This window comes from Homo sapiens, chromosome 2 (genome assembly GCF_000001405.40).
Source record: "Homo sapiens chromosome 2, GRCh38.p14 Primary Assembly".
In the NCBI taxonomy this organism is placed as follows: domain Eukaryota; kingdom Metazoa; phylum Chordata; class Mammalia; order Primates; family Hominidae; genus Homo; species Homo sapiens.
The window spans coordinates 227,018,990-227,043,256 of record NC_000002.12 but is presented as its reverse complement, the minus strand read 5'-3'; the positions used below and the strand labels follow the sequence as shown (position 1 = coordinate 227,043,256).

The following is a 24,267-nucleotide window of genomic DNA, read 5'->3' as shown; positions in this document are numbered from 1 at the left end:
GGCTGAACTTGGTGATTTTAAAGATTCACTGTCTCAAACGGCAACTCTGATGTTTGATCTTTCCTTCTTTAGGGCATTTTGGAGCATCCGGAGAGCAGGGCTTGCCTGGTATTCAAGGGCCCAGAGGATCACCTGGAAGGCCAGGGCCACCTGGCTCCTCTGGACCACCAGGGTGCCCAGGTACCTTGAAAGGAAATCTGGAGACTTCCTGAGCACTCTTGTGTCTCAGAGTGTTTCAGAAACCACCAGTCTTTAATTAGACCTAAATTCAGATATGGCTCTGCCATTTCCCAGACCTGTGACTTTGGATAGGTCACTTAAGCTCACCTATGCCTCACCTATAAGCTAGTGGGTTTCACTGAGTGACTTGGAGTAGATTAAGACAGCACCTGTAAAGTGCCTAGCATGGCACCAGACACAAAGGAATGGTCAGACAGATAGCAACTCCTTTCTTTTTAGTTTTTATTCTTTTAGAGAGAGAGGGCCTCACTCTATTAACAAGGCTGGAGTGTGGTGGCACAATCATAGCTCACTGTAGCCTCAAACTCCCGACCTCAGGGAGGCTGTCTCAGCCTCCCAAAGTGCCGGGATTACAGGCATGAGCCACTGTGTCTGGCCCAGATAGCAGCTCCTTTCTAGCCCTTTGCATTTCTCCTGCCATTCAGGATGCTGTTTTGTTTGTTTGTTTGTTTGTTTTCCCCTCCTTTAGACCTAAGGCAGATGTCACACTTACAGCACAGTGTTTTAATGGATACTATTCCTGCCAATTCAGAAAAAAAGAGAAAGTTTCAAACTATAGTTGGCAACTTCATTTATTTGGAAATGTATTTTCTCCTCCTGAATTTAAATGTATTTTTCTCCCTAGAGTTAAGATGTATAGGAAGAAAAAGTAATTAGACAGTGTTCTCCGTTACCCATATATTAAGAACATAGATGACTTTTGCAGTGAATGTAATTCATTTATTATCTGGCCATCTGCAAAACTTCCCTGTCATCCTCAGGTGATCACGGGATGCCTGGGCTGAGGGGACAGCCAGGAGAAATGGGAGACCCTGGGCCAAGAGGCCTCCAGGGGGATCCAGGGATACCAGGTCCTCCGGGAATAAAAGGTAAGTCAAAATGAAGCCCATCCCACAAGAAAGATGCAGCCCAATGAGGGCAAATTGATGGTGTTTTTTTCCTGTACCAGTGAGTGACCCTGCTCTTGGTTATACCACTCTTTTCCGTAGGTGCCATTAGCATCTTCCTACTCTTCCTTAGCCAGGGCTGCAGGTAGTGCCCATCCAGTCAGCTGACCTGCCTTCTACCAGGGAGAATGGTAGTGCTACCATTTTCTTTCTTTCTTTCTTTCTTTCTTTCTTTCTTTCTTTCTTTCTTTCTTTCTTTCTTTCTTTCTTTCTTTCTTTCTCTTTCTTTCTTTCTTTCTTTCTTTCTTTCTTTCTTTCTTTCTTCCTTTCTTTCTTTCTTTCCCTTCCTTCCTTCCTTCCTTCCTTCCTTCCTTCCTTCCTTCCTTCCTTCCTTCCTTCCTTCCTTCCTCCTCCCTTCCTTCCTTCTCTCTCTCTCTCTCTGTCTTTCTTTCTTTTTTCCTTTTCTTTCCTTTTCTTTTTTCTTTTTTTTTGATGGTGTCTTGCTCTGTCACCCAGGCTGGAGTACAGTGACGCGTTCTCAGCTCACTGCAACCTCCACCTCCCAGGTTCAAGCAATTCTCCTGCCTCAGCCTCCTAAGTAGCTGGGATTACAGGTGCACATCACCATGCCTGGCTAATTTTTGTATTTTTTAGTGGAGACGGGGTTTCACCATGTTGGCCAGGCTGGTCTCAAACTCCTGACCTCAAATGATCCACCCGCCTCGGCCTCCTGAAGTGCTAGGATGTGAGCGCCCGGTTGCTACCATCTTATTTCTGAAGGCATTTAGCCAAATGATTTTTATGATGTTCAGGCCCATTATTCATGTATTCCCTTCACCTATGGTTAAGCTCCTACTATCCTAGATTCTGTGCTAGATGCTGGGTGTACAGTTTTGAAGAAAATAGACCTGCTTCCTGCCCTCATGGAGCTGACAGTATGGCAGGAGAGAAAGACATTAATAATATATGTGGAAATGAATATATATTTACTGATCATGATAAGTGGAAGAGAAAACAATAAGGTGCTACAGATATAGAATAATTAGTGTTCATCATCTTTTTTCGATCAAGAATAATTTTTTCTGGGTTGAATTTCTTGGTCTGTAAAGGCAATAGTGGACTGGTTATAAAAGTCTGGTTATAATATAATATAATACAATACAATATAATATAAAATACTTGTCATTAATAAATCTTTATGCCCTCACATTCATCCATGGTATCAACCCCTCTTCAGTCCATTTCTTCCACTTTAGAAAAAGTACTTTTTTGGCCGGGTGGCTCACACCTGTAATCCCAGAGTTTTGGGAGGCTGACGTGGGCGGATCACTTGAGGTCAGTAGTTCGAGACCAGCCTGGCCAACATGGTGAAACGCCATCTCTACTAAAAATATAAAAGTTAGCTCTGTGGTGGTGCATGCCTGTAATCCCATCTACTCTGGAGGCTGAGGCAGGAGAATTGCTTGAACCTGGAAGGTGGAGGTTGCAGTGAGCCAATATCGTGCCACTGCGCTCCAGCCTAGGCAACAGAGTAAGACTCCATCTCAAAAAAAAAAAAAAAGAAAAAGTATTTTTTCTATGGGTATTTTTGAACATATCTTTAGCATAACACTTACGTTGTATCACATTTGTTTGGAGGTTTTTCTCATCAAACAGAGTATGATTTTTTAAAAAGCAAGGACATTTCATATACCCTTGAGACCCAGTCAATAACAAGTATATTGGTTGGTGGTATGAATGAATGGACAAATAGGAGAATGAATATCTGAGCTAGTAGATATGAGGTTGCAGTCCTTATCTGAACCAACAGCTGATGGTTCCAGCTTACTTGGTAGAGTCTTGTAACCAGGTTTCCTCTATTTCTTCTTCCTTTCTCCTTCCACCTGCCTTTGCTCATTGACTCATACGTATACGAAATCCTGGTAAAATAAAAAGTCCCTCCTTTCAGAAGGTACTGAGTTGGAAACCCCTTCTTCTGGGATTAATCCTTTTACTGTTTTGAAAATTCAAATACGATTTTCCCACACTTTGCCCTCTTCACTCATTGGATAGCTTTGAAATAATTCTAATTTTCCAGAAGTGGTAGTGTGGTAGGTATTACTTGGTGCAAGTCTGTGGAGACAGGAGCCATTTATGTTGAAGAGTTGGTATACTCATGTATTTTCACACAATCACATAACTTGATAGGAAAAGTTCCCTTCACAAGACATCTTTGTACTGTTCTCCGTCTTCATTGACACTTTTAGTAATATGAATTCCAGCAATTCATGATAAATTTAGGATTTCAGGCAAATGATCATTCTGTTATTTTGAAAGTTTCTGTGGTGATTGTGGCCATTTCCTGTCTCTGACCATCTCTACAGCCTTCATGGCGTATTCTTTGACACTTTTTTGTGTCCGGAAGACAGTTGGTAAAGAACCAAAAGAAAACATTTGTCATCATTAACCACTCCCACTTTTTCCTACCCTCCACTTCTTCCTACCCTCCCAGTTTAGTAACACAGCAAGGATTTTTAAGTGTCTTGGTGGCTTAAAAACATACACCCAATTTGGTCAAAATGGCAGGGCTCATGCCACTGTTGTTGATCTTTCTTTCCCTTGAATTTGTTTGCATTTATCACATAACTTCAGTATGGCATGCTATTACAAAACTAATAGCTGGCCGACGTGGTGGCTAATGCCTGTAATCACAGCACTGTGGGAGGCTGAGGCAGGCGGATCAGCTGAGGTCAGGAGTTCGAGACCAGCCTGGCCAACATATAGCGAAACCCCATCTGTACTAAAAAAATACAAAAATTAGGTGAGCGTGATGGCGGGTGCCTGTAGTCCCAGCTACTTGGGAAGCTGAGGCAGAAGAATTGCTAGAACCCAGGAGGTGGAGGTTGCAGTGAACTGAGATTGCACCACTGAACTCCAGCCTGGGTGACAGAGCAAGACTCTGTCTCAAGCAAAACAAAACAAAACAAAACTAATAGCTAATAAATTTGATCCATAACAAAATCACCCCAAAATTAATCTCCAATCACATCATAATTCCGTGCTATGAAATAGTGTGTTAAAAAGAGAAGGTGAGGAAATGAACATATTACTTGGCATGTTCATACCACCTACAGACAGATGTTGCAGTGGTGCTCCATCACCATATAGTGACACTGTTTCACTTCAAACAGCTCAGAGAACAACTGGTCTTTAAAAACCACAACACAAAACAAAACAGTGAAATACATTCTGAAAAGTTAAAACATCTGCAGTATAAATTCATTGTTGCAGCTTATCATGCTGATATAAAAATGAACCACACTCCAGCAGAAACACTTTGAACTGAGAAACTAAATATTTGCAGTATGTTCTAACTAAGTCAAGGGGACTGATTATCTTGTTTGAACAAACCAGCTGCTGAACTCAAAGCTGTTTGCTCTGCTAGAACAGGCCATATGGATTTTGCATCCTGCTTGTGTTCAATCAGATTTAAACTTTAACTTAAACATATGCTAAAAATGGCTTGATTCCAGCTACCATTGACTTTCTTCACATAATTACAAAAAACTACTTTAAATTTCAAATGGAACCAAAAAAGAGCCTGTATAGCCAAGACAATCCTAAACAAAAAGAATAAAGCCAGAGGCATCAGGCTACCTGATTTCAAACTATAGTACAAGGCTACAGTAACCATAACAGCATGGTACTGGTACCAAAACAGATATCTTGACCAATGGAACAAAACAGAGACCTCAGAAATAACTCCACACATCTACAAACATCTGATCTTCCACAAACCTGACAAAAACAAGCAATGGGGAAAGGGTTCCCTATTTAATAAATGGTGTTGGAAAAACTGGCTAGCCATATTCAGAATACTGAAACCGGACCCCTTCCTTACACCTTATACAAAAATTAACTCAAGACGGATTAAACACTTAAACATAAGACCTAAAACTGTAAAAACCCTAGAAGAAAACCTAGACAGTACCATTCAGGACATAGGCATGGGCAAAGACTTCATGCCTAAAACACCTAAAGCAGTGGCAACAAAAGGCAAAATTGACAAATGGGATCTAATTAAACTAAAGAGCTTCTGCACAGCAAAGAAACTATCATCAGAGTGAACAGGCAACCTACAGAATGGGAGAAAATTTTTGCAATCTATCCATCTGACAATCTACAAGGAATTCAAACAAATTTACAAGAAAGAAACAACCCCATCAAAAAGTGGGCGAAGGATATAAACAGACACTTCTCAAAAAGACATTTATGCGGCCAACAAACATATGAAAATAAAAGCTCATCATCAGTGGTCATTAGAGAAATGCAAATCAAAACCACAATGAGATACCATCTCATTGCCAGTTAGAATGGAGATCATTAAAAAGTCAGGAAACAACAGTTGCTGGAGAGGATGTGGAGAAATAGGAATGCTTTTACACTGTTGGTGGGAGTGTAAATTAGTTCAACTGTTGTGGAAGACAGTGTGGCGATTCCTCAAGGATCTAGAACCAGAAATTCCATTTGACCCAGTGATCCCATTACTGGGTTTATACCCAAATGATTGTAAATCATTCTGCTATAAAGACCTATGCAAATGTATGTTTATTGCAGCACTATTCACAATAGCAAAGACTTGGAACCAACCCAAATGCCCATCAATGATAGACTGGATAAAGAAAATGTGGCACATGTACACCATGGAATACTATGCAGCCATAAAAAAAGGATGAGTGCATGTCCTTTGCAGGGACATGGATGAAGCTGAAAACCATCATTCTCAGCAAACTAACACAGGAACAGAAAACCAAACACCACATGTTCTCACTCATAAGTGGGAGCTAAACAATGAGAACACATGGACATAGGGAGAGGAATATCACACACTGGGGCCTGTCAGTGGGTGAGAGGCTAGGGGAGGGATAGCATTAGGAGAAATACCTAATACAGATGTCGGGTTGATGGGTGCAGCAAACCACCATGGCACATGTATACCTATGTAAAAAACCTGCACATTCTGTACATGTATCCCAGAACTTAAAGTGTCATCATCATCATCATAAAATGGCTTGATTCCTAGACTTTAAGTACAAATGCCCTTTAAAAGGAGAACACCCAGTTCCTAGTTGGAAAGTAATATAAGATTGAAATAATGAAAACCTAAAGAATATTACCTGTAGCATGACAAGAACTGGAAAGAATATGGATTTTGTATCCATATTTACTGGTAGCAAGTAAAATGTTTCATAAGAAAAAAGAATCTGGAAATGGCTTTCCTCAGAAAAGAGATGCCATGTCCCTTAGAGCTATGAACATCATGGAAATATTCTCCCCCCGCTTTTTTTACTAGATTACTCTCCTCCTGCCCTTCCCCCACAGCACTTACCACACTGGATGTAATTGCCTGTTTGTTCTGTCAAGTCAGGGACAGACTTGTCCCGCATCGTCTTGACAGCACCTGCCAGGAGGTACATTTGGGGCAGACTCTGTGCATTAGGAAACCATATCTTACACCCTTAGTGGGCACTCACATATTTGCTGATACAAAAAATATTTAAATCTTATTTCAGAATCTTTGTTAATAAGAATCTTCCAGGTTTTTCAACCATTACTTATAGTCACAAAGATCTCTCTTCCCATCAGCTTTGAAGTTAGGGTGAGCAGCTGTCCCGTTTTGCCTGGGCCTGAGTGGGTATTTCAGGATGTAGAAATTTCAGTGCTAAAACCAGGAAGAAGTCGCAGGCAAACAGGGACACGTTGGTCACCCTATGTGTTAAAAGTATGAGCCCATATAAAAGCTCTTGGGTGTGTCGAGTAATGTTTTCAGGCTTTAGAACAAAATACAGCCTGAGAGTGGGAATGCAGTCATAAAGAGTTCGCTGGCTAACAAAGATGGGAGCCACAATTCCAGCTGGATTGGAGGTTACATTCACTGACTAGAGAAAGAGCACCCAGCCTGAAAGTGCAGTGTGCTGCAGCCTTAAATGATGGTTGTTTAGCAGGAGGATGACCAGAGAGGTGAATAAAAATTCCTCATTACCCAGAAATGTGCTTTGTTAGCCTAATTGCCTCTCATCTGCACTGTATATATTTTATGCATGAACAACTTTCTGATTTAGAGATGGGATTGATAAAAAGCTTTCAGTAAAAAGGAAAAATTACCCTTACAACCCTACTCAGATGTAGCTGCATTCAATTTAGAACGATAACATTGGGTCAGATAAGGGTCGGCCAGTTCAACAATGGCGAGAGGCTGGGACCGTGACAACCTAGGATCTGGATGTGTTGATGTGACAATGGAGAGCTGGCAGAAGCAGAGACATTCCACCCCAGCCAAGTCCCCAAGCCATCAATCTTGGTGACTAAAGCTGGAGATCAAAACATGTGGAAATAGTGAAGTGGTCCCCCCGAAAATTTATCATTTCAGATAGATTGCAATAAATACCCAGATTTGGCAGATAAAGAAGGTCTGTGTGTTCTTTTGGTGCAAACTTGAAACGTTGGCTCATAAAATAGGAAAGAGGATTGGAGAATAAACTAAGCCAGAACTGTAAAAAGTGGTTAGGAATAAGAGATTTGGGGAAAATAAAGATGCATTCCCATTTTTTTTTTTTTTTTGGTGCACGAGAATATGGCTCATTTGAACCAATCTAAATCCTAGATCTTAAAAGAATAATGACTGTCTGTTTCAAGTACTGATGATAAATAGAATGGAAGCAACTAACTGTGCCAGCTTCTAATAAGAATACACAGAGGACTTGCTTAAAATGAATAGACAATAATTAGCACTTGAATTATTTATATGCAAACTGATACCTCTAACTTCTGTAAATTATATTTGTCCTATAAATCTATTAAAGAAAGATATGGCATACAAATAAAAATTCTACCCTGCTCCTTTTTGTAGCTTTCTCCCTCATCCACCTTGTTCCATATTTTTTCATTCAGTCACTCAACAAACATTTATTGAACACATCCATAGGACCTAGTCTTGAACTCCTATTTACCCTTGAGCAGGGGAGACAGTCACCCAAAGACATGATTGTTTCACAGTGTGGGGTGGACATCAACAATCAAGGGGGTCCTATATCATGGGGGTAGGTGAGGGGCACCTTCTGTGTTCAACCTTATAAGCTGATGGTATTTTTATCCCAAATTTGAGAGATGTGACCCTACACTAAGTAAACAGGCTGGCTGTGCACCGAGAGGCTCTATACACCATGGAATACTATGCAGCCATAAAAAATGATGAGTTCATGTCCTTTGTAGGGACATGGATGAAATTGGAAATCATCATTCTCAGTAAACTATCGCAAGAACAAAAAACCAAACACCACATATTCTCACTCATAGGTGGGAATTGAACAATGAGAACACATGGACACAGGAAGGGGAACATCACACTCTGGGGACTGTTGTGGGGTGGGGGGAGGGAGGAGGGATAGCATTGGGAGATATACCTAATGCTAGATGACGAGTTAGTGGGTGCAGCACACCAGCATGGCACATGTATACATATGTAACTAACCTGCACATTGTGCACATGTACCCTAAAACTTAAAGTATAATAAATAAATTAATTAATTAATTAATTAAAAAAAAAAAAGAACAGCTACTGGGTGGAAGATCTACTGATGAGATAGGAAGTTTTCCAGGCTTGACCAGAGGCTGGGAAGAAGCTTCAGTGCTCGTAGCCATCAGTGGGACAGGACTTGTGAGAAGGCACCCAGCAGATGGCTCAGTGCCCTGGAGATGCTCGATAAATATTCCTTACCTGCTTTCTTCCTTGCCTCTCCTCCTCCAACTTTACCAAGGGCCATCAAGAAGTGTCATTTGAAAAGGCTCTCGTTCAGACAACTTCAACACAACTCAACATACGTTGATAAAAAACCTTAAAAAAAATTTTCCACTGGAAGTGTTTAGTGACAACTTCAGTCAAGCCAGGCTGGTGGACGGCTCTTTGGAGAACTAAACAGAAGGTTCTGAGAGAAGGCACAGGCATCAGTGGGGTAATGTCTGTTTACACAGACGGGAGTTTTCAGTGATCATCGCAAAATAAACTTAGGTTCTGCAGAAAGGCATCAGAATGGTTGTGAAAGAAGTGACTGCAAAGCAATAGCTGGAGCCACACTCGCCATGCAGGCCTGAGCATCGCAGGGCAAGCATTTGCCAGCATGCCACAGGCGCCATGCGTCCTCTCGTCTGACTGCATCTCCATGAGTAGATCCTGAAGAAACCAGGAGCCTGCAGCCCCTAGGAGGGTGCAGTGACCCCAAGCCTGGGAGGTGTGAGGCCTGGATTTGCTCCCATCCGATCTCTTTCCTCATGTAGGGTGATTTTATTGTCATAAAATCAAAGGTCACTTCCTATGCCAAGATTCAGTAATTCTAGACCATATCTGGTCACGATAGGATCAGAAACCAACAGCAGTACTTTAAAACCAAAGAAATGTTTGTGTTAAGCTGTCTTGGCAGAAAATCTTTACCGGATGAATGTGTTAAATAGTCCTGGGCCTGGGTTTCCACCCTGATGATGAAGTCCAGACGCTCAGAGCTGTTTGCTGGCCCCAGCAACGCGCCCTCTGCTGGGCAGTGCCTGCGTTTGTGGCTAGAGTGAGTACCGGTGGCTGGTCTTCCTTTGGGTCACAGGCCTGTGGTGTTTTTCAGGTCCCTCCGGATCACCTGGCCTGAACGGCTTGCATGGATTGAAAGGTCAGAAAGGAACTAAAGGTGCTTCAGGTAAGCACCTAATCGATTCGTAACAGACTGAGCTTCAGTCCATGGTTCATGAGAGAAAGTGGTACCCTCCCTGGTATTTCTGCACTTCATGAGATTTGGAGGCAAAACTGAAAAAAACTGGCTTAGGTTAGAGACACACTATTGGAGCTATTTTTAGTGCTGAAAATGACATATGAAAAGGACATTTGAGAAAACCCTATTTAAGAAGGAATGGTTGGTTAACAGTGTCTTTTGTTGGTATTGCTTGGAATTTTCTGTCCACTAAAAGTACTCTGAACAATTGAGCCAGATTTCAAAATGTTATCCTAACAAGTAAATAGCTGGGGATTTTAGAATTTTTGTATTAAGTATAGTAATGCTATGTTTGACCACATGGGTCAAATTAGTACTAATAGCATCCTTTTATGGCCACTGCTAAAACAAATTACCTACACAATTTGCTGTTATTTTCATACCGCAAACAGGTTAATCTTTGACAAGTGTATCTTGTTCTGTTAGTATAATGCACATTTGTTGCGTTACTTTCTCAGAAAAACCGCTTATGATCAGACAAAGTAGCTGAAACCTAACATGCAAATTTGAGTGACCCTGGGGAAGAGGAATTGTGCTGCTAGGTTTGAATTTATTGTTGGAGAGAGGTGAAATCTTTCTAGTTTGGAAGATCCAGTAATATAGTCACTTAAGATTCATTTAGTAGATCCTCCAAATAGATTAAATGTGTGTGCCTTCCAAGAAAACACTGATGTCCTTCCTTCCCAGTGTGAAATTCCACAATAGTTCTAATCATGCCAGTTTCCACCTCAAATTTCAAAGCAACTTATGCATAATTACTTATTGTATCTCATTTGTTTTTACTCTCTCCATTGTAGAGGTGGGAGGTTGGTATTGCCTCTAAGTTGTTGTTTTTTAAAATCTGGAAAATAACTATAAAAGAAATAAAACTTATGGCTGACCAGTGTGATAGGTCCTAAGAGAGAAATGGTGCAGACATTTGGATCACCACTGCAACCAGTTGTTGGTGTCTGCAGAACCAGCCACTCCTCTGCCGCTATTGGGAAGTGGTTCCTTTTCAGGCACTATAACAGGGACAAGAAAAGAGAAGATATAGTATTAATTCTGTTTTCCCCATTAAGGTTTGCATGATGTGGGGCCACCTGGTCCAGTGGGAATACCTGGGCTAAAAGGGGAGAGAGGAGACCCTGGGAGCCCAGGAATCTCTCCTCCAGGTCCTCGTGGAAAGAAAGGTCCCCCAGGACCCCCAGGTAAGCTGTAGCATGCTTTGCCCTTCTTTCAATAACTAAACCAAAACCTTCCAAATGCAATGAGGATAACATGTGAACATGTCTCTTCTTAGGGAGTTCAGGACCACCTGGTCCTGCAGGTGCCACAGGAAGAGCTCCTAAGGACATTCCTGACCCGGGTCCACCTGGAGATCAGGGACCTCCTGGTCCTGATGGCCCAAGAGGTATGAGAGAATCATGACAAAGGATGGCAGTGCTCCCTTTGTTAGATGCTGCCAGCTCTGGAGGAATGTGGGACCAGAGAGTGGCAGAATAGAAGCACTGAAGCAGCCCCCCATCAGCTTGGCAGGTCGATAAGTGGGACACAGTTAGGGTGGGACTTTGGGTAGTGGTGGGCTCTCAGGACCATATCCAGGACCAGGACTTGGCCCTCTCTTCAATTTCAGCTCTGTTAGACCCTCGTCTCTTCAGGCTAGAAACTGATAAGCAAGCGTTTCTTATCACCAGCTTGATGCTGACCAAATGTCTTCAGAAGTGGGTGGCAAGTGGGAATCGCACCCTCCTTGTTGGTCTCTAGCAACTGTCACATAAACCACTGGCACTAGCCCAGAGTGACAGGATGCAGGCTTGTGGCACACAAGAAACAGTCTCTTCATGTGCTGCTGACAGTACATGTTGTTTCTTTCATCACTTCACAGGGACAAACTTTGGTAAGGAAAGATGTTGGAAGTCATTACTAAGCTGACCAAGTAGGTTTAGGCTAGAGCTGGGTTGGGAGTTGGGAGAAGAGTGTGGCTCCGTGTGATATCTTGCTAAATGCAGGCAATTGCATTCATACAAGCTCTTAGAACTCTTCCATAAAGACACATGCCCATCATCTTTGAATCTTTAGGATTTTAGGGATCATACACTGAAAATAATAAAGCTCTCAAAAGTGCGCTAAGAAGTACAGAAGCTAAGTAGGAATATAATTGGGGTCAATTTATTCCTATTTGTGGGAACTTGTTTTCCATTAGGATTATAAATTTAATCGAGTGAACATTCCTTTCCCACCAGACATATTTCCTCAAATGCCTGTCTATCTGTCCATCAGTCTATCCATCCATCCATCCATCCATCCATCCATCTGTCCATCCAACCATCTATCCACATATCCATCCATCCATCCATCTTATCTATCCATCCAACCGTCTATCCACCTATCCATCCATCCATCCATCCATCCATCCATCCATCCATCCATCCATCCATCTTATTAAAGCAGTAAGATGGCAATGCAAACAAAAACCCAAAATGATATTTTCAACAGGAATGACTTTGAAGGGAAGGAAGGTTTTGCTTGGGTTCATTTTGTCTAACAGTTACCAACCCATTATCTACACCATTTCTCAACTTGGTATTATGATTCATTCTATTTCATTTCTGTTATCATTGACTTTCTTATTCTTCTAATTCTCTTTATTCCTTGCTTGCAAGTCATTGAATTGTTTTTCTTCGGAAGCTGTCAAGCAGCCAGTATACACATTCGTCTTTGACTAAAAGAATATTTTTGTCTCTTCTCTGTGGTCAGGAGCACCTGGGCCTCCAGGCCTCCCTGGGAGTGTTGACCTTCTGAGAGGGGAGCCAGGTGACTGTGGTCTACCAGGGCCACCAGGTCCCCCTGGCCCACCAGGCCCTCCAGGATACAAAGGCTTTCCAGGATGTGATGGAAAAGATGGCCAGAAAGGTATGAATGTTGTTCCGTTAAGTAATATGTGAATAACTTGGTTATCTTACCCTTGAGGGTCTGGGGTACTGTGCCGCCATTTCTATTTCCTATGCAAACAAAGTGACTACCTTCCAAAATGTCCTTATTTCCCCAAAGAGTCCTGAAGTTTGGGTCAAAGTTGGACAAGTAAAAGGAAGAAACACAAGTTCATCTTTAGCCCCTAATAATACTCTTGATAATCTTCCAGGCCAGAATTGAACAGTAGAAATGTAATGCAAGCCACATGTGCAATTTAAAAATATAGTAGACACATTTTAGCAAGTAAAAACAAGTGAACTTTCATACTTTATGTGATTTAACATAATATATTTAAATATTTTTATTTTAACATATAGTTAATATACATTTATCAATGAGATAATTGAGCTGATTGTGCAAACCTAATTCCTTTTGCAAATAAGCCACTCCTTCTTCCTGCTTTTGAAATCCCTTGTGTGTTCCACACTGACAGCACAGCTCAGGTTGGACTGGCCACATTTCAAGTGCTAACTAGCCATGTATGGTTAGTAGCTTCTGTATTGGACAGCTTAGTTTTAGACTGCTGACTTTGCTTTTTTATATTCCTGCAAAGATCCCGAATCACTGAATTTCCCCAGTATTTGAGGTTAAAATATTTATTTTAATCAATTTTTATCCAACTGCTAATATTTGGGGAGATCAGTTTTTGGTCACCAGAATTTCAGAGAATTTTTAGGTTCAAAGAAGCTTTTTGTTGAAAAAAGATGACTAATGAGTATCCATTTTAACTTCCCTATTTCATAAATAAGGAAGCTGGATATCAGAAAAGCAACAGTTGAAATTTGCAAAAAGAGCCCAGTAACGAGCACCTTGCCTGAGTTCTGAACCAAGTGTGAAATAAGGCAAAAGATTAGGTCACAGATAAAAATCACTGTGAGGCCGCCATGACTATAGTGCAAATGGCATCTGTGGAATTGTGCAGTGCACAGCCTGTAGAACAGTATGGAGCAAGCCTGTTCATCTGTATTAGCAATGAAATCAATTTTAGAGAATGTGGCTCAAATCTATGGGTAAGTAGGCTTCCAATGATTGAACTTCAGAATTGGACTGACGTGCTAACACTCTAGTCACCAAGAGGAAGGAGGAAGGGGCTGGCTAACACTCCTCCTCCTTAGTTACTCTAGGGAATAAATCTCTACCTGGACATGAAGTTCAGGACTGAGGAAATAAAACACCATATGAATACCAGTGATCTACATAAGGATACACAGGGAGTTAGAAATATTGGTGGAACCGCTAATCATGCTTCTTGACTCCCAGTCCAGAGAATATAAAGGCCAAACAGTGCTTCACTATAAAGAGAGTGAGTTTCCTCAGTTACCTTTTATGACTTACACAGTGACAAATATCTCTTAGGCACCTGCAGGAATATAGCAGTGAACAAATTTAAGTAGAGTTTCTAATCTCATAAGGACAGAGTTTCCGCTTGACTCAGTGGTTCATGCCTATAATCCCAACACTTTGGGAGGCCAAGGCGTGAGGATCCCTGGAGGCCAGTATAGTTCAAGACCAGCCTGGGCAACACAGTGAGACCCCCATCTCTACAAAAAAATTAAAAAATTATCTGGGCATGGTGGTGTGTGCCTGTAGTCCCAGCTACTCGGGAGGCTGAGGTGAGAGGATCGCTGGAACCCAAGAGTTGGAGGCTGCAGTGAGCAATGATTGTGCCACTACACTCCAGCCTGGGTAATGGAGCAAATAATAATAATAATAATAATAATAATAATAATAATAATAAATTTCTTTTATAAAGAGCATAGTTTCATGGAAGACAGACATGCACATGAAAGGATATGTCAGTTTAAATCCAGTTAAGTGTCCTGAATGAAGAGCTTATCAAAAAGCAACTAAACTTCAGTTGGGATTCCAGGGAAGGCTTCCCTGAGAAAATGAAACTGGGTCTTATCTCTAAAAAATGAGGAAGACATCATGGATGTGGAAGAAGTAAAGGAACATCACGTATGAGGAACTGAACTGTTGTGCCTAAAACTAAGAGAGTGAGGAGGAGAGTGGTTGAACTCGCCTGGGGAGGCACGTTGTTCCCGGATATTGAAAGCTCTTTCCTGATTTTTCCTTCAGTTCCAGTCCTTTGTCTCCAGAGGAAGTTTAGGGTTATAGGACTTCTTTTCATTGTAATTTGGTCTTGTCTTGATCATGGAGCCATTTCCTTAGTTCTTTCGGCCGATCATGTGTTTCCTTCAGAGGCAACCCGTCTAAGCCTCACAGAAGAAGGCGAGGCTAATCTTGACTCTCAGGCTAGCTATGCCCTGCATTTTGTTGGAGTGAATCTCTGAATTCAGTCTATCAAACTGTCATTGTTTTTATCTTGTCTCATTCCAGTGCCCTCATTTTTATGTTTTGTTTTTTTTTAAGGACCAGTGGGATTCCCGGGACCGCAGGGACCACATGGATTTCCTGGGCCACCTGGAGAGAAGGGTTTACCTGGACCTCCAGGGAGAAAAGGGCCCACTGGTCTTCCGGGTGAGCTTCCAACCTACATACAGCATTTTGTTTAAACATTTACTAAAATGATCATCGTTCAGAAAGTAGTTAATATTCTGAATTACTAGCACATTCTTATTATTTAAGCCCTTTTCTTATATTAAGAGTATATTTCTTTCAGGCCGCACTACAAAGTCTCATGTTTGGTAAAGTAATAATTTATTGTCAAAATGAAAAAGTTTGAAAATTAGGAGTTGATTTTTTTTTACTTTATTTTTTAATTTTTTTCTATATATATATATTTTTTATTATACTTTAAGTTCTAGTGTACATGTGCACAACGTGCAGGTTTGTTACATATGTATACATGTGCCATGTTGGTGTGCTGCACCCATTAACTCGTCATTTACATTAGGTATATCTCCTAATGCTATCCCTCCCCCCTCCCCCCTCCTCCCACTCCACAACAGGCCCCAGTGTGTGATGTTCCCCTTCTTGTGTCCAAGTGTTCTCATTGTTCAGTTCCCACCTATGAGTGAGAACATGCGGTGTTTGGTTTTTTGTCCTTGTGATAGTTTGCTGAGAATGATGGTTTCCAGCTTCATCCATGTCCCTACAAAGGACATGAACTCAAAAAAAAAAAAGGAGTTCATTTTATATACACATTTTTTTTTCTATTTTTTTTTTTTTTGAGACAGTCTTGCTCTGTCATCCAGGCTGGAGTGCAGTGGTGTGATCTCAGCTCACTGCAGCCTCCGCCTCCTGGGTTCAAGTGATCCACCTGACTCAAACTCAAGTATCTAGGATTATAGGCGTGTGCCACTGCGCCTAGCTAATTTTTGTATTTTAATAGAGACAGAGTTTCACCATGTTGGCAAGGCTGGTCTCAAACTCCTGACCTCAGGTGATCAGCCCACCTCAGCCTCCCAAAGTGCTGGGATTACAGGCATGAGCCACTGTGCTTGGCCCACATAGACTGTTTCTAAGGGAAATAAATATGTGTTCCTTCATGCAAGAGGCAAAGACTGATTTGATTATTATTTGTTAGGATCGTATATTCAATTCCGATCCCTGAATTTTCATTGATTTTCCTAGATGTTTTATTTAATTTTTTTTCTGTAAATTCCATTCGTTCCTAGGAAGGGAGAAAGCTATTCAGTTTAACTCTATAGGCAACACTTTTTAACCATAGGGTCAAATTACGACAAGGAAGAGTTGGGGAGAGAAGGGGCAAACAGACATGTGTATTTGAGATGGGCAGAAGTAATATCTTTCAAGATCCTAAATCAATATTACGGTAATGTGGCGTCAGTTCAGAATATTTCGCAGTATCCTAAATTAGCACTCTAGTCCAAAGAATAAATAAATAGCACTGCTTTATGATGTATCATAGGACAGGAGGAACAAGGGCTTATATGTTGATTCTTTTTTTTTTTTTTTTTGAGACGGAGTCTCGCTTTGTCACCCAGGCTGGAGTGCAGTGGTGCGATCTCGGCTCACTGCAAGCTCCACCTCCCGGGTTCACGCCCGTTCTCCTGCCTCAGCCTCCGGAGTAGCTGGGACTACAGGCGCCCGCCACCTCACGCAGCTAATTTTTTTGTATTTTTAGTAGAGACGGGGTTTCACCGTGTTAGCCAGGATGGTCTCGATCTCCTGACCTCGTGATCCACCCGCCTTGGCCTCCCAAAGTGCTGGGATTACAGGTGTGAGCCACTGAGCCTGGCCTATATGTTGTTTCTTTTCATATTTCCTTTCTATGCATACCCTATACTTGGCAAATTAATATGAAATTTTCAGAAGCTTTTAAATGGATAGAATTCCTACATGCATTAAATTAGAGGATATTTGCCAGAAGAAATCAACTAGAATTTTATATTGCTCAAGAGAGTTTCAAGTCATTCTAGAGATGAAAACTCCGTTACTAAATCATAGCTGCTCCTGTCAGTCACATTGATGTGGACATTTTATGTAAATAAGGTGCTGCCATTCTGCTTGTCATTGATGCTGCCTCAAATTATTATGTATGTTCTTAATCTATTTCATTTTTGTCCTAATCCACAAATTTAAAATCTCTTTCCACCCTGTGAAAATCATGGACTGGCCTCGTTTGTTGTCTTTGGATCCCTCTAGGTCCCAGAGGTAAGCTTTGCTATAAAATTGGTAATTTCCCCTCACTCTGGTTTCTAGTCATTTCTGTACTTGTCCTTTTTCCTCTGTATGTGTGAGCTAAACTTTGTTACATTTTTATAGATGGGGTGCTGTAAGGATATTAAGCTGCAGTGTTTTGCTTCCTCGTTACAGATATAGTAACCTCATATTAGAGCATCCTAACATTCAGCCTCATTATAGGTTGTCAAGGCAGTGTAGAGCCTTTGCTTATATAGTTTCAATTTGGGCATGAAGTATGTGGGCTTTCTCTGTCAAAGGCTATATAGTACATAACCAATGTAAGTTCCTTTTTTAAATTCTACAATATAAATACCTAGAGCATCCCTAAAATAAATGGTATATACAACATTAAAAAATGGGGCCTCACCTCCCAGTAAGGGGCTGTGACAAGCCTTTCCTATCACACCCTCAAGTCCATTTTCAAGGAGCACATTTCTTTGTGTGTTAAAAGGAAAATGTTCACTTAATGCTCTGCAGTGCAAAAACAATGTGTTATTTTGTGCCTGGCATTTTCAAAGAAAATCAAAAGCATTTCTCAGAAGAGAAAAAGAAAAATTGTGAATGCCTGCATTTGTTCTTTCCAGGCCTCTGTTATTAGTCCTAATGAAAATTGCTGTGAATATAGACACCATGTATTATTTTTAAGGTCTTTAGAAGACAGGCCTCAGCTCCCCCTTTTTATTTTTCAGTTTCTGACTTATTAAAAAGTAAAGAAAAGCAAAATCAAAAATGTAAAAAGTCCTGGTATTTTCAATGTTTATATTTAAAAATTAAACTGTATTTGATGTTTTCATTTCAATCCTGTCTCTCTGTGATTGTATGTATAAAGTCATTTCAAGAGAGCATCAAAATTCTAAATAGGAAGCACCAAACACATGCTCCCACTTTCTGAACTCCGTTCCCACTGGGAAGGGCCAGACATTACTCATGGAAAATAGAAGATGCCTCTATGCATCTCTCTCAAGTCACCCATAGTAGAAAAGCCAAGTTTTACATTAAACTGTACTTATTATAAAAATACATTTGGCCCTGTGTGGCTTGTGGTTTTATACCATATTTTACACAGAGTTAAATTCCAAATAGCTCATAAGAATTCCAGGTCATTTTACACAGGCCCAGTAAGTATTAGGAGACTAAAACTTTGTTGTTATGCCACATTTTGTTAAGGATTTTCTTAGTGCTTTATGATTGATGTTCCTGAAATTATTTCACACTTTTGCATACATTTGAAGAACACCATAGCTAATCAGATGATATCTTTTATTTTTATTTAATTTTTTTGGAGACAGAGTCTTGCTCTGCTGCCCAGGCTGGCGATTCCACCACTGCACTCCCAGGTTCAAGCAGTTTTCCTACCTCAGCCTCCCAGGTAGCTGGGATTACAGGCATGTGCCACCACACCTGGCTAATTTCTTGTAATTTTAGTAGAGATGGGGCTTCGCCCTGTTGCCCAGGCTGGTCTTGAACTCCCAAACTCAGGCAGTCCACCCGCCTCGGCCTCCCAAAGTGCTGGGATTACAGGCGTGAAACACCATGCCCGGCCAGATGATACCTTTTAAAATATGTTTCATTTCTTAGAATTTGTTACCCAGATATTGAGAGTTCCTGATGCAGTCTGATGAGGTGGTTAAGAACATGGGTTTGGAGCCAGAATGCCCTGGATTGCAATCCAGACTCTGCTGTGTGTAAGCTGTGTCACCACAGAAGTGTCACTTATTTGCCTGAGCCTGAGTGGTTTTTTTTGTTTGTTTTTTGTTTTTTTTTTTTGAGACAGAGTCTTGCTCTGTCACCAGGCTGGAGTTTAATGGTGTGATCTTGGCTCACTGCAATCTCCGCCTCCCGGGTTCAAGCGATTCTCCTCCCTCAGCCTCCTGAGTAGCTGGGACTGTGCACCACCACACCCGGCTAATTTTTGTATTTTTAGTAGAGACAGGGTTTCACCATGTTGGCTAGGATGGTCTCAATCTCTTGACCTCGTGATCTGTCCATCTTGGCCTCCCAAAGTGCTGGAATTACAGGCATGAGCCACCGCGCCTGGCGAAGCCTGAGTGTTCTTGTTCATACCCTTCTCATAACAGTAGCACATACACAGTCTTCTCGGGAGGATTTAATAGTAAAAGCATTCAGCACAGGGCCTGATACATGATAAAGCATTCAGTGAGCCTTAGCTGTTGTCATTATTGTTCAGTGTTATTATTTCTTATCCCTCTGTGATGTTTGCAGGATGACTGAATGAAGCTTTAGAAAAGATGTCTTAATGATGTGAAAGTAAAAGAAAAAAATCTCACATCTTTAGTATAGTGGTTTTCTTTTTTCTTTTTTTTTTTTTTGAGATGGAATCTTGCTCTGTCACCCAGGCTGGAGTGCAGTGGCACGATCTCAGCTCATGCAACCTCTGTCTCCTGGGTTCCAGGGATTCTCCTGCCTCAGCCTCCTGAGTAGCTGGAACTACAGGCACTTGCCACTACACCCAGCTATTTTTTTTTTTTTTTAAGTAGAGATGGGGTTTCACCATGTTGGCCAGGCTGGTCTCAAACTCCTGATCTCAAGTGATCCACCCGCCTCGGCTTCCCAAAGTGCTGGGATTACAGGTGTGAGCCACCGTGCCCAGCCTGTGTTTTTCAAAGTGAGATTCCCAGATCAACGCCATCAGCCTCCCTGGGAACATGTTAGAGATGTACATGGCCCCCTCTTCAGACCTTCTGACTCAGGAACTCTGGTTTCTAACAAACTAGCGACACAATTCTGATGTGCTACAGTCAGAATTATAGCTTTCCAACTGTGCTTTCAGCCCTAATGGACACTGGAATCATCGTGGGAGTTAAACAAACAAACAAACCAAAAACTACTGACACCCGGGTCCCACCCCCAGAAATTCCTATTTAATTAGTCTAGATGGGGCCCCAGTATTCATGAGTACTTTTGAAAAGCTCACCAGCTGAGTTTATTATGCAGCCAATGATGAGGACACTGCTCAGGCCACATCCTATTATCAAGTAAATCAGTATTTCTGGGAGTGGGACCCAGGCATCAGTATATTTCCATGACTCCCCTGGATAAGTCCAATGTTCACTCAAGGTTGAAAGTCACTGCTTCTGAGCCTCTAGCAATCCTGAAATTCTATGTTAGTGACTGACACTATGGAAACCCACGTGGCTGCAGTGTAGAGTAAGGACTCAGGGACACATGAAGCTGAGCTTTAGGAACCCACCAGTCCCTCTTGCAATGCTACCTGTGGCTGCTACTCCAGTAAAAAATGGCCCAGAGATTGGGCAATCCTGTGAGGGTCATCACGTTGCTGCATCATCCGACCTTCACTGTTTCATACTTCTGCATCCTCTGATACTCCATTCACTCATTCGGTCAGCCCGACATTCTGGAATTTTTTCATGTACCCTCCAGGGCATAAGACAAATTTCTGCCTTCATGGAACTTACATTGGATTGTTGAATCTTTACAAACATTTATACTGAATTTTATACTGAATTTGTACTAAATTTCAGTATAGTGTCAGAAGTCCAACTTTAACCAGAGACTGTAGAAGGAGCTTGTTCATAAGCACGTGCATCCATTACACAAGCGGTGATTCCAATTTCAGGTGAACCGGGGCCACCTGCAGATGTGGATGACTGTCCCCGAATCCCAGGCCTTCCTGGGGCGCCAGGCATGAGAGGACCAGAAGGAGCCATGGGGCTCCCTGGAATGAGAGGCCCCTCAGGACCAGGTATGAGCCGCATGCTGATTGTTCATTATTTTCATGATATATTGCTGAAATGAAATTCTAGATCTTTTATTTTGTAGCTTTTTATATGGAGCCTAAACTACTGAGGAGAAAGCATGTCTTTCCCTTTGCAATTTGTTTCTACCTTGATCCAAAGTACATCAATCATGGGCTAACTGGATCCACACATCCCTTCTATTATTTTATTTTATTTTATTTTATTTTTGAGATGGAGTCTTGCTCTGTTGCCCAGGCTGGAGTGCAGTGGCACCATCTTGGCTCACTGCAAGCTCCGCCTCCCAGGTTCACGCCATTCTCCTGCCTCAGCCTCCCGAGTAGCTGGGACTACAGGCGCCCACCACCACGCTCAGCTAATTTTTTGTATTTTTAGTGGAGATGGGGTTTCACCGAGTTAGCCAGGATGGTCTCCATCTCCTGACCTCGTGATCCGCCTGCCTCAGCCTCCCAAAGTGCTGGGATTACAGGCATGAGCCACTGCACCTGGCCCATCCTTTCTATTTTTATGTGGAACTCCTACTTAAATCTTTCATTCTTGGCCAGCTTTTGGATGTAGAGTTTTCAAACCTCTTAGCACAACATGGTAGATGCTCCATGAACAGTCATTAATAGCTGCCTACTTGATTTTGAGTTAAAAACAATTGAATTGGGGCTTGGTGGAGCGGAAACAGAGCCTGCAAGAAGGAAGTAGGAGCTGTTAGAGGAGGGATGGGGAAAAATAGGGTCTTGCTGTACGTTTTGGCAGTTACTACATGGTTAATCACTGGAGCATTGTTCAGTAACTGCCGGGGTGGCAGGATCCTTATTCAAGTATTTAAGCGAAACCATTCTTTTAAAAAGTGTTCTCCATTTAAAAAGTGTTCTCCAGCCAGGCGCAGTGGCTCACGCCTGTAATCCCAGCACTGTGGGAGGCCGAGGTGGGTGGATCACCTGAGGTCAGGAGTTTGAGACCAACCTGGCCAACATGGTGAGACCTTGTCTCTTACTAAAAGTACAAAAATTAGCAGGGCTTGGTGGCGGGCACCTGTAATCCCAGCCACCTGGGAGGCTGAGACAGGAGAATCGCTTGAACGGTGGAGGCAGAGGTTGCAGTGAGCTGCACTCCAGTCTGGGCAACAAGAGCGAAACTCCATCTCAAAAAAAAAAAAAAAAGAAAAAAGTGTTCTCCGAATGGTTTGTTTTCTTTCCACATATCCCCACTGCATTGGGTAATTTACAAAGATATTAGGGAGCCCAGGGCTGGGCATCTAGAAGTCACTGTTCTCTTTAGATCCATTGATAGTAGCTATGAGTCTAGAAAACTCATGGGCAAATTCTTTGAAAAGGAGGAACCAGGATGTTCTCTCTCCTTTCACCCCCCCTCACTGCCCCACTATGATTTGGACTTTTTTTGGTTCAGGGACACAGGAATTGGAAGCAGAACTGAATTTTGTACCACTTGTTTTTCTTGTGGTTCCCCAAAACCAAGAAGTTAAGTGCCCAAGAGATGTTCCTCTCAACAGGAGTCAGACTCGTTCTTAGGTGGTGACCAAAACAGCCCTGGAGCCTTCCTCAAATTAATTTGGGTTTTCGTTGTGTGTGTTTATTGCATTGCATCTGTGTTTGTGCACCAGGTTAATTGGGTGTTGGTTGTAGCAACTTTTTTTAACGGCCCGTGAGAACTGGGAATTGGGCCAGTCTTTATTTAACTCATCTTTCTTGATACTCCTTGCATGCATAAAGTTCTGTCAGTCGGTATTACTAGTCATCAACCTCATTTTAAAACCAAGCTGCCTTGTGTATATATTTGCAATATCCAGAGCTGGGTCCCTCCAACTTAAAAAAATAACTTCCAACTTGAAGACGTGACCTATAACTGGGTTCTGCAAATTCAATTCAGTAAGTACTTCCAGACTCCCTCTACTCTTTGTAAAGTATGCTACTAGGTGGTATGGGTGAGTAAGATGAGTAAGATGTGTTTTCCCCCTCCAGGGTCTCATAATCCCATGAAAGAAATAGCCAGCAGAATATAAATAACTTAAAGTAATGGTAGATTATTACACAATTCATGTTAAAAAGGAGTTGCAAGTTGGGTGTTGTGGCTCACGCCTGTAATCCCAGCACTCTGGGAGGCCAAGGTGGGCAGATCACCTGAGGTCAGGAGTTTGAGACTAGCCTGGCCAACATGGTAAAACCCCGTCTCTACTTAAAATACAAAATTAGCTGAGCGTGGTGGCAGATGCCTGTAATCCCAGCTACTTAGGAGGCTGAGGCAGGAGAATCGCTTGAACCCAGGAGGCAGAGGTTGCAGTGAGCTGAGATCGCACCACTGCACTCTAGCCTGGGCAACAAGAGTGAAACTCCGTCTAAAACAAAACGAAACAAAACAAAGAGTTGCAAGTCAAGGGTATTGGGAGAATGGGATGGTGAGAGGTTAATTCCAGTGTGGAGAACTACAGGACTGCTAGGACCCCAGTAAGAGCTGGTATTTGACTAGAGCCTTAACGAAAGGTTGGGCTTTGAGGAGCCAGAATTGTTCAACAGGGAGATGGCGGGAGCACAGACTGGGCTGGTTGGCCTAATAACCAGGCATCTAGGAGTTAGCAACATCCTTGCTACTGTAACTGTGGTCCTGGTCCAGGAACTAGCAGCAACTTTGGTCCCGCCCCAGACCTACAGAATCAGAATCTGCATTTTAACAAGGTCCCCAAAATAGTTGCATACATATTCAAATTTGAGACGCCCTGTTATATGAATGCACTCCTTAAAGATTCAGCTAAGAGTAGAACGTTTCTTAGCAAGGCAGTCCTAGCTGCAGGTTAAAATCACCTGGAGGATCTTGAAAGAATATTGGTACCTCGGCCTAATCTCAGACCAATAGAATGTGGAAGGTGGCAGAGCCTGAATGTTAACATTTTTCAATGCCCCCCAGGTGACTGTAGCAGGCAGCCAAGGTTGAAATGCACTGCTCCACCTCAACATCAAAATTGAGGCCAGAGGGATGGTTGGGGTCACCCACTGTGGTGGCTTTAAAAAAATAACCAAAGAAAGTAACTAGGAAGAG

General features: G+C 42.0%; 1 protein-coding gene across 29 annotated transcripts in view; it reads left to right on the top strand.

Annotated features, from left to right (window-relative positions):
- The window catches only part of COL4A4 (collagen type IV alpha 4 chain), a 197,129-nt gene that overhangs the window by 121,232 nt on the left and 51,630 nt on the right, over window positions 1-24,267 (top strand). For 28 of the 29 annotated variants that reach the window (XR_922837.3, XR_001738602.2, XR_007069255.1 and 25 more), the window contains 9 exons: window positions 73-180; window positions 1,002-1,109; window positions 9,776-9,847; window positions 10,981-11,109; window positions 11,202-11,312; window positions 12,659-12,814; window positions 15,248-15,355; window positions 17,447-17,455; window positions 21,084-21,209. Coding sequence is in view for 26 of the 29 variants with exons in the window: in XM_011510565.3 (XP_011508867.1) it covers window positions 73-180; window positions 1,002-1,109; window positions 9,776-9,847; window positions 10,981-11,109; window positions 11,202-11,312; window positions 12,659-12,814; window positions 15,248-15,355; window positions 17,447-17,455; window positions 21,084-21,209 (927 nt within the window). In the remaining 3 variants the exon portion in view is untranslated. The remainder of the gene's footprint in view (window positions 1-72; window positions 181-1,001; window positions 1,110-9,775; window positions 9,848-10,980; window positions 11,110-11,201; window positions 11,313-12,658; window positions 12,815-15,247; window positions 15,356-17,446; window positions 17,456-21,083; window positions 21,210-24,267) is intronic. The other variant, XM_017003297.2, reaches the window with a different exon arrangement.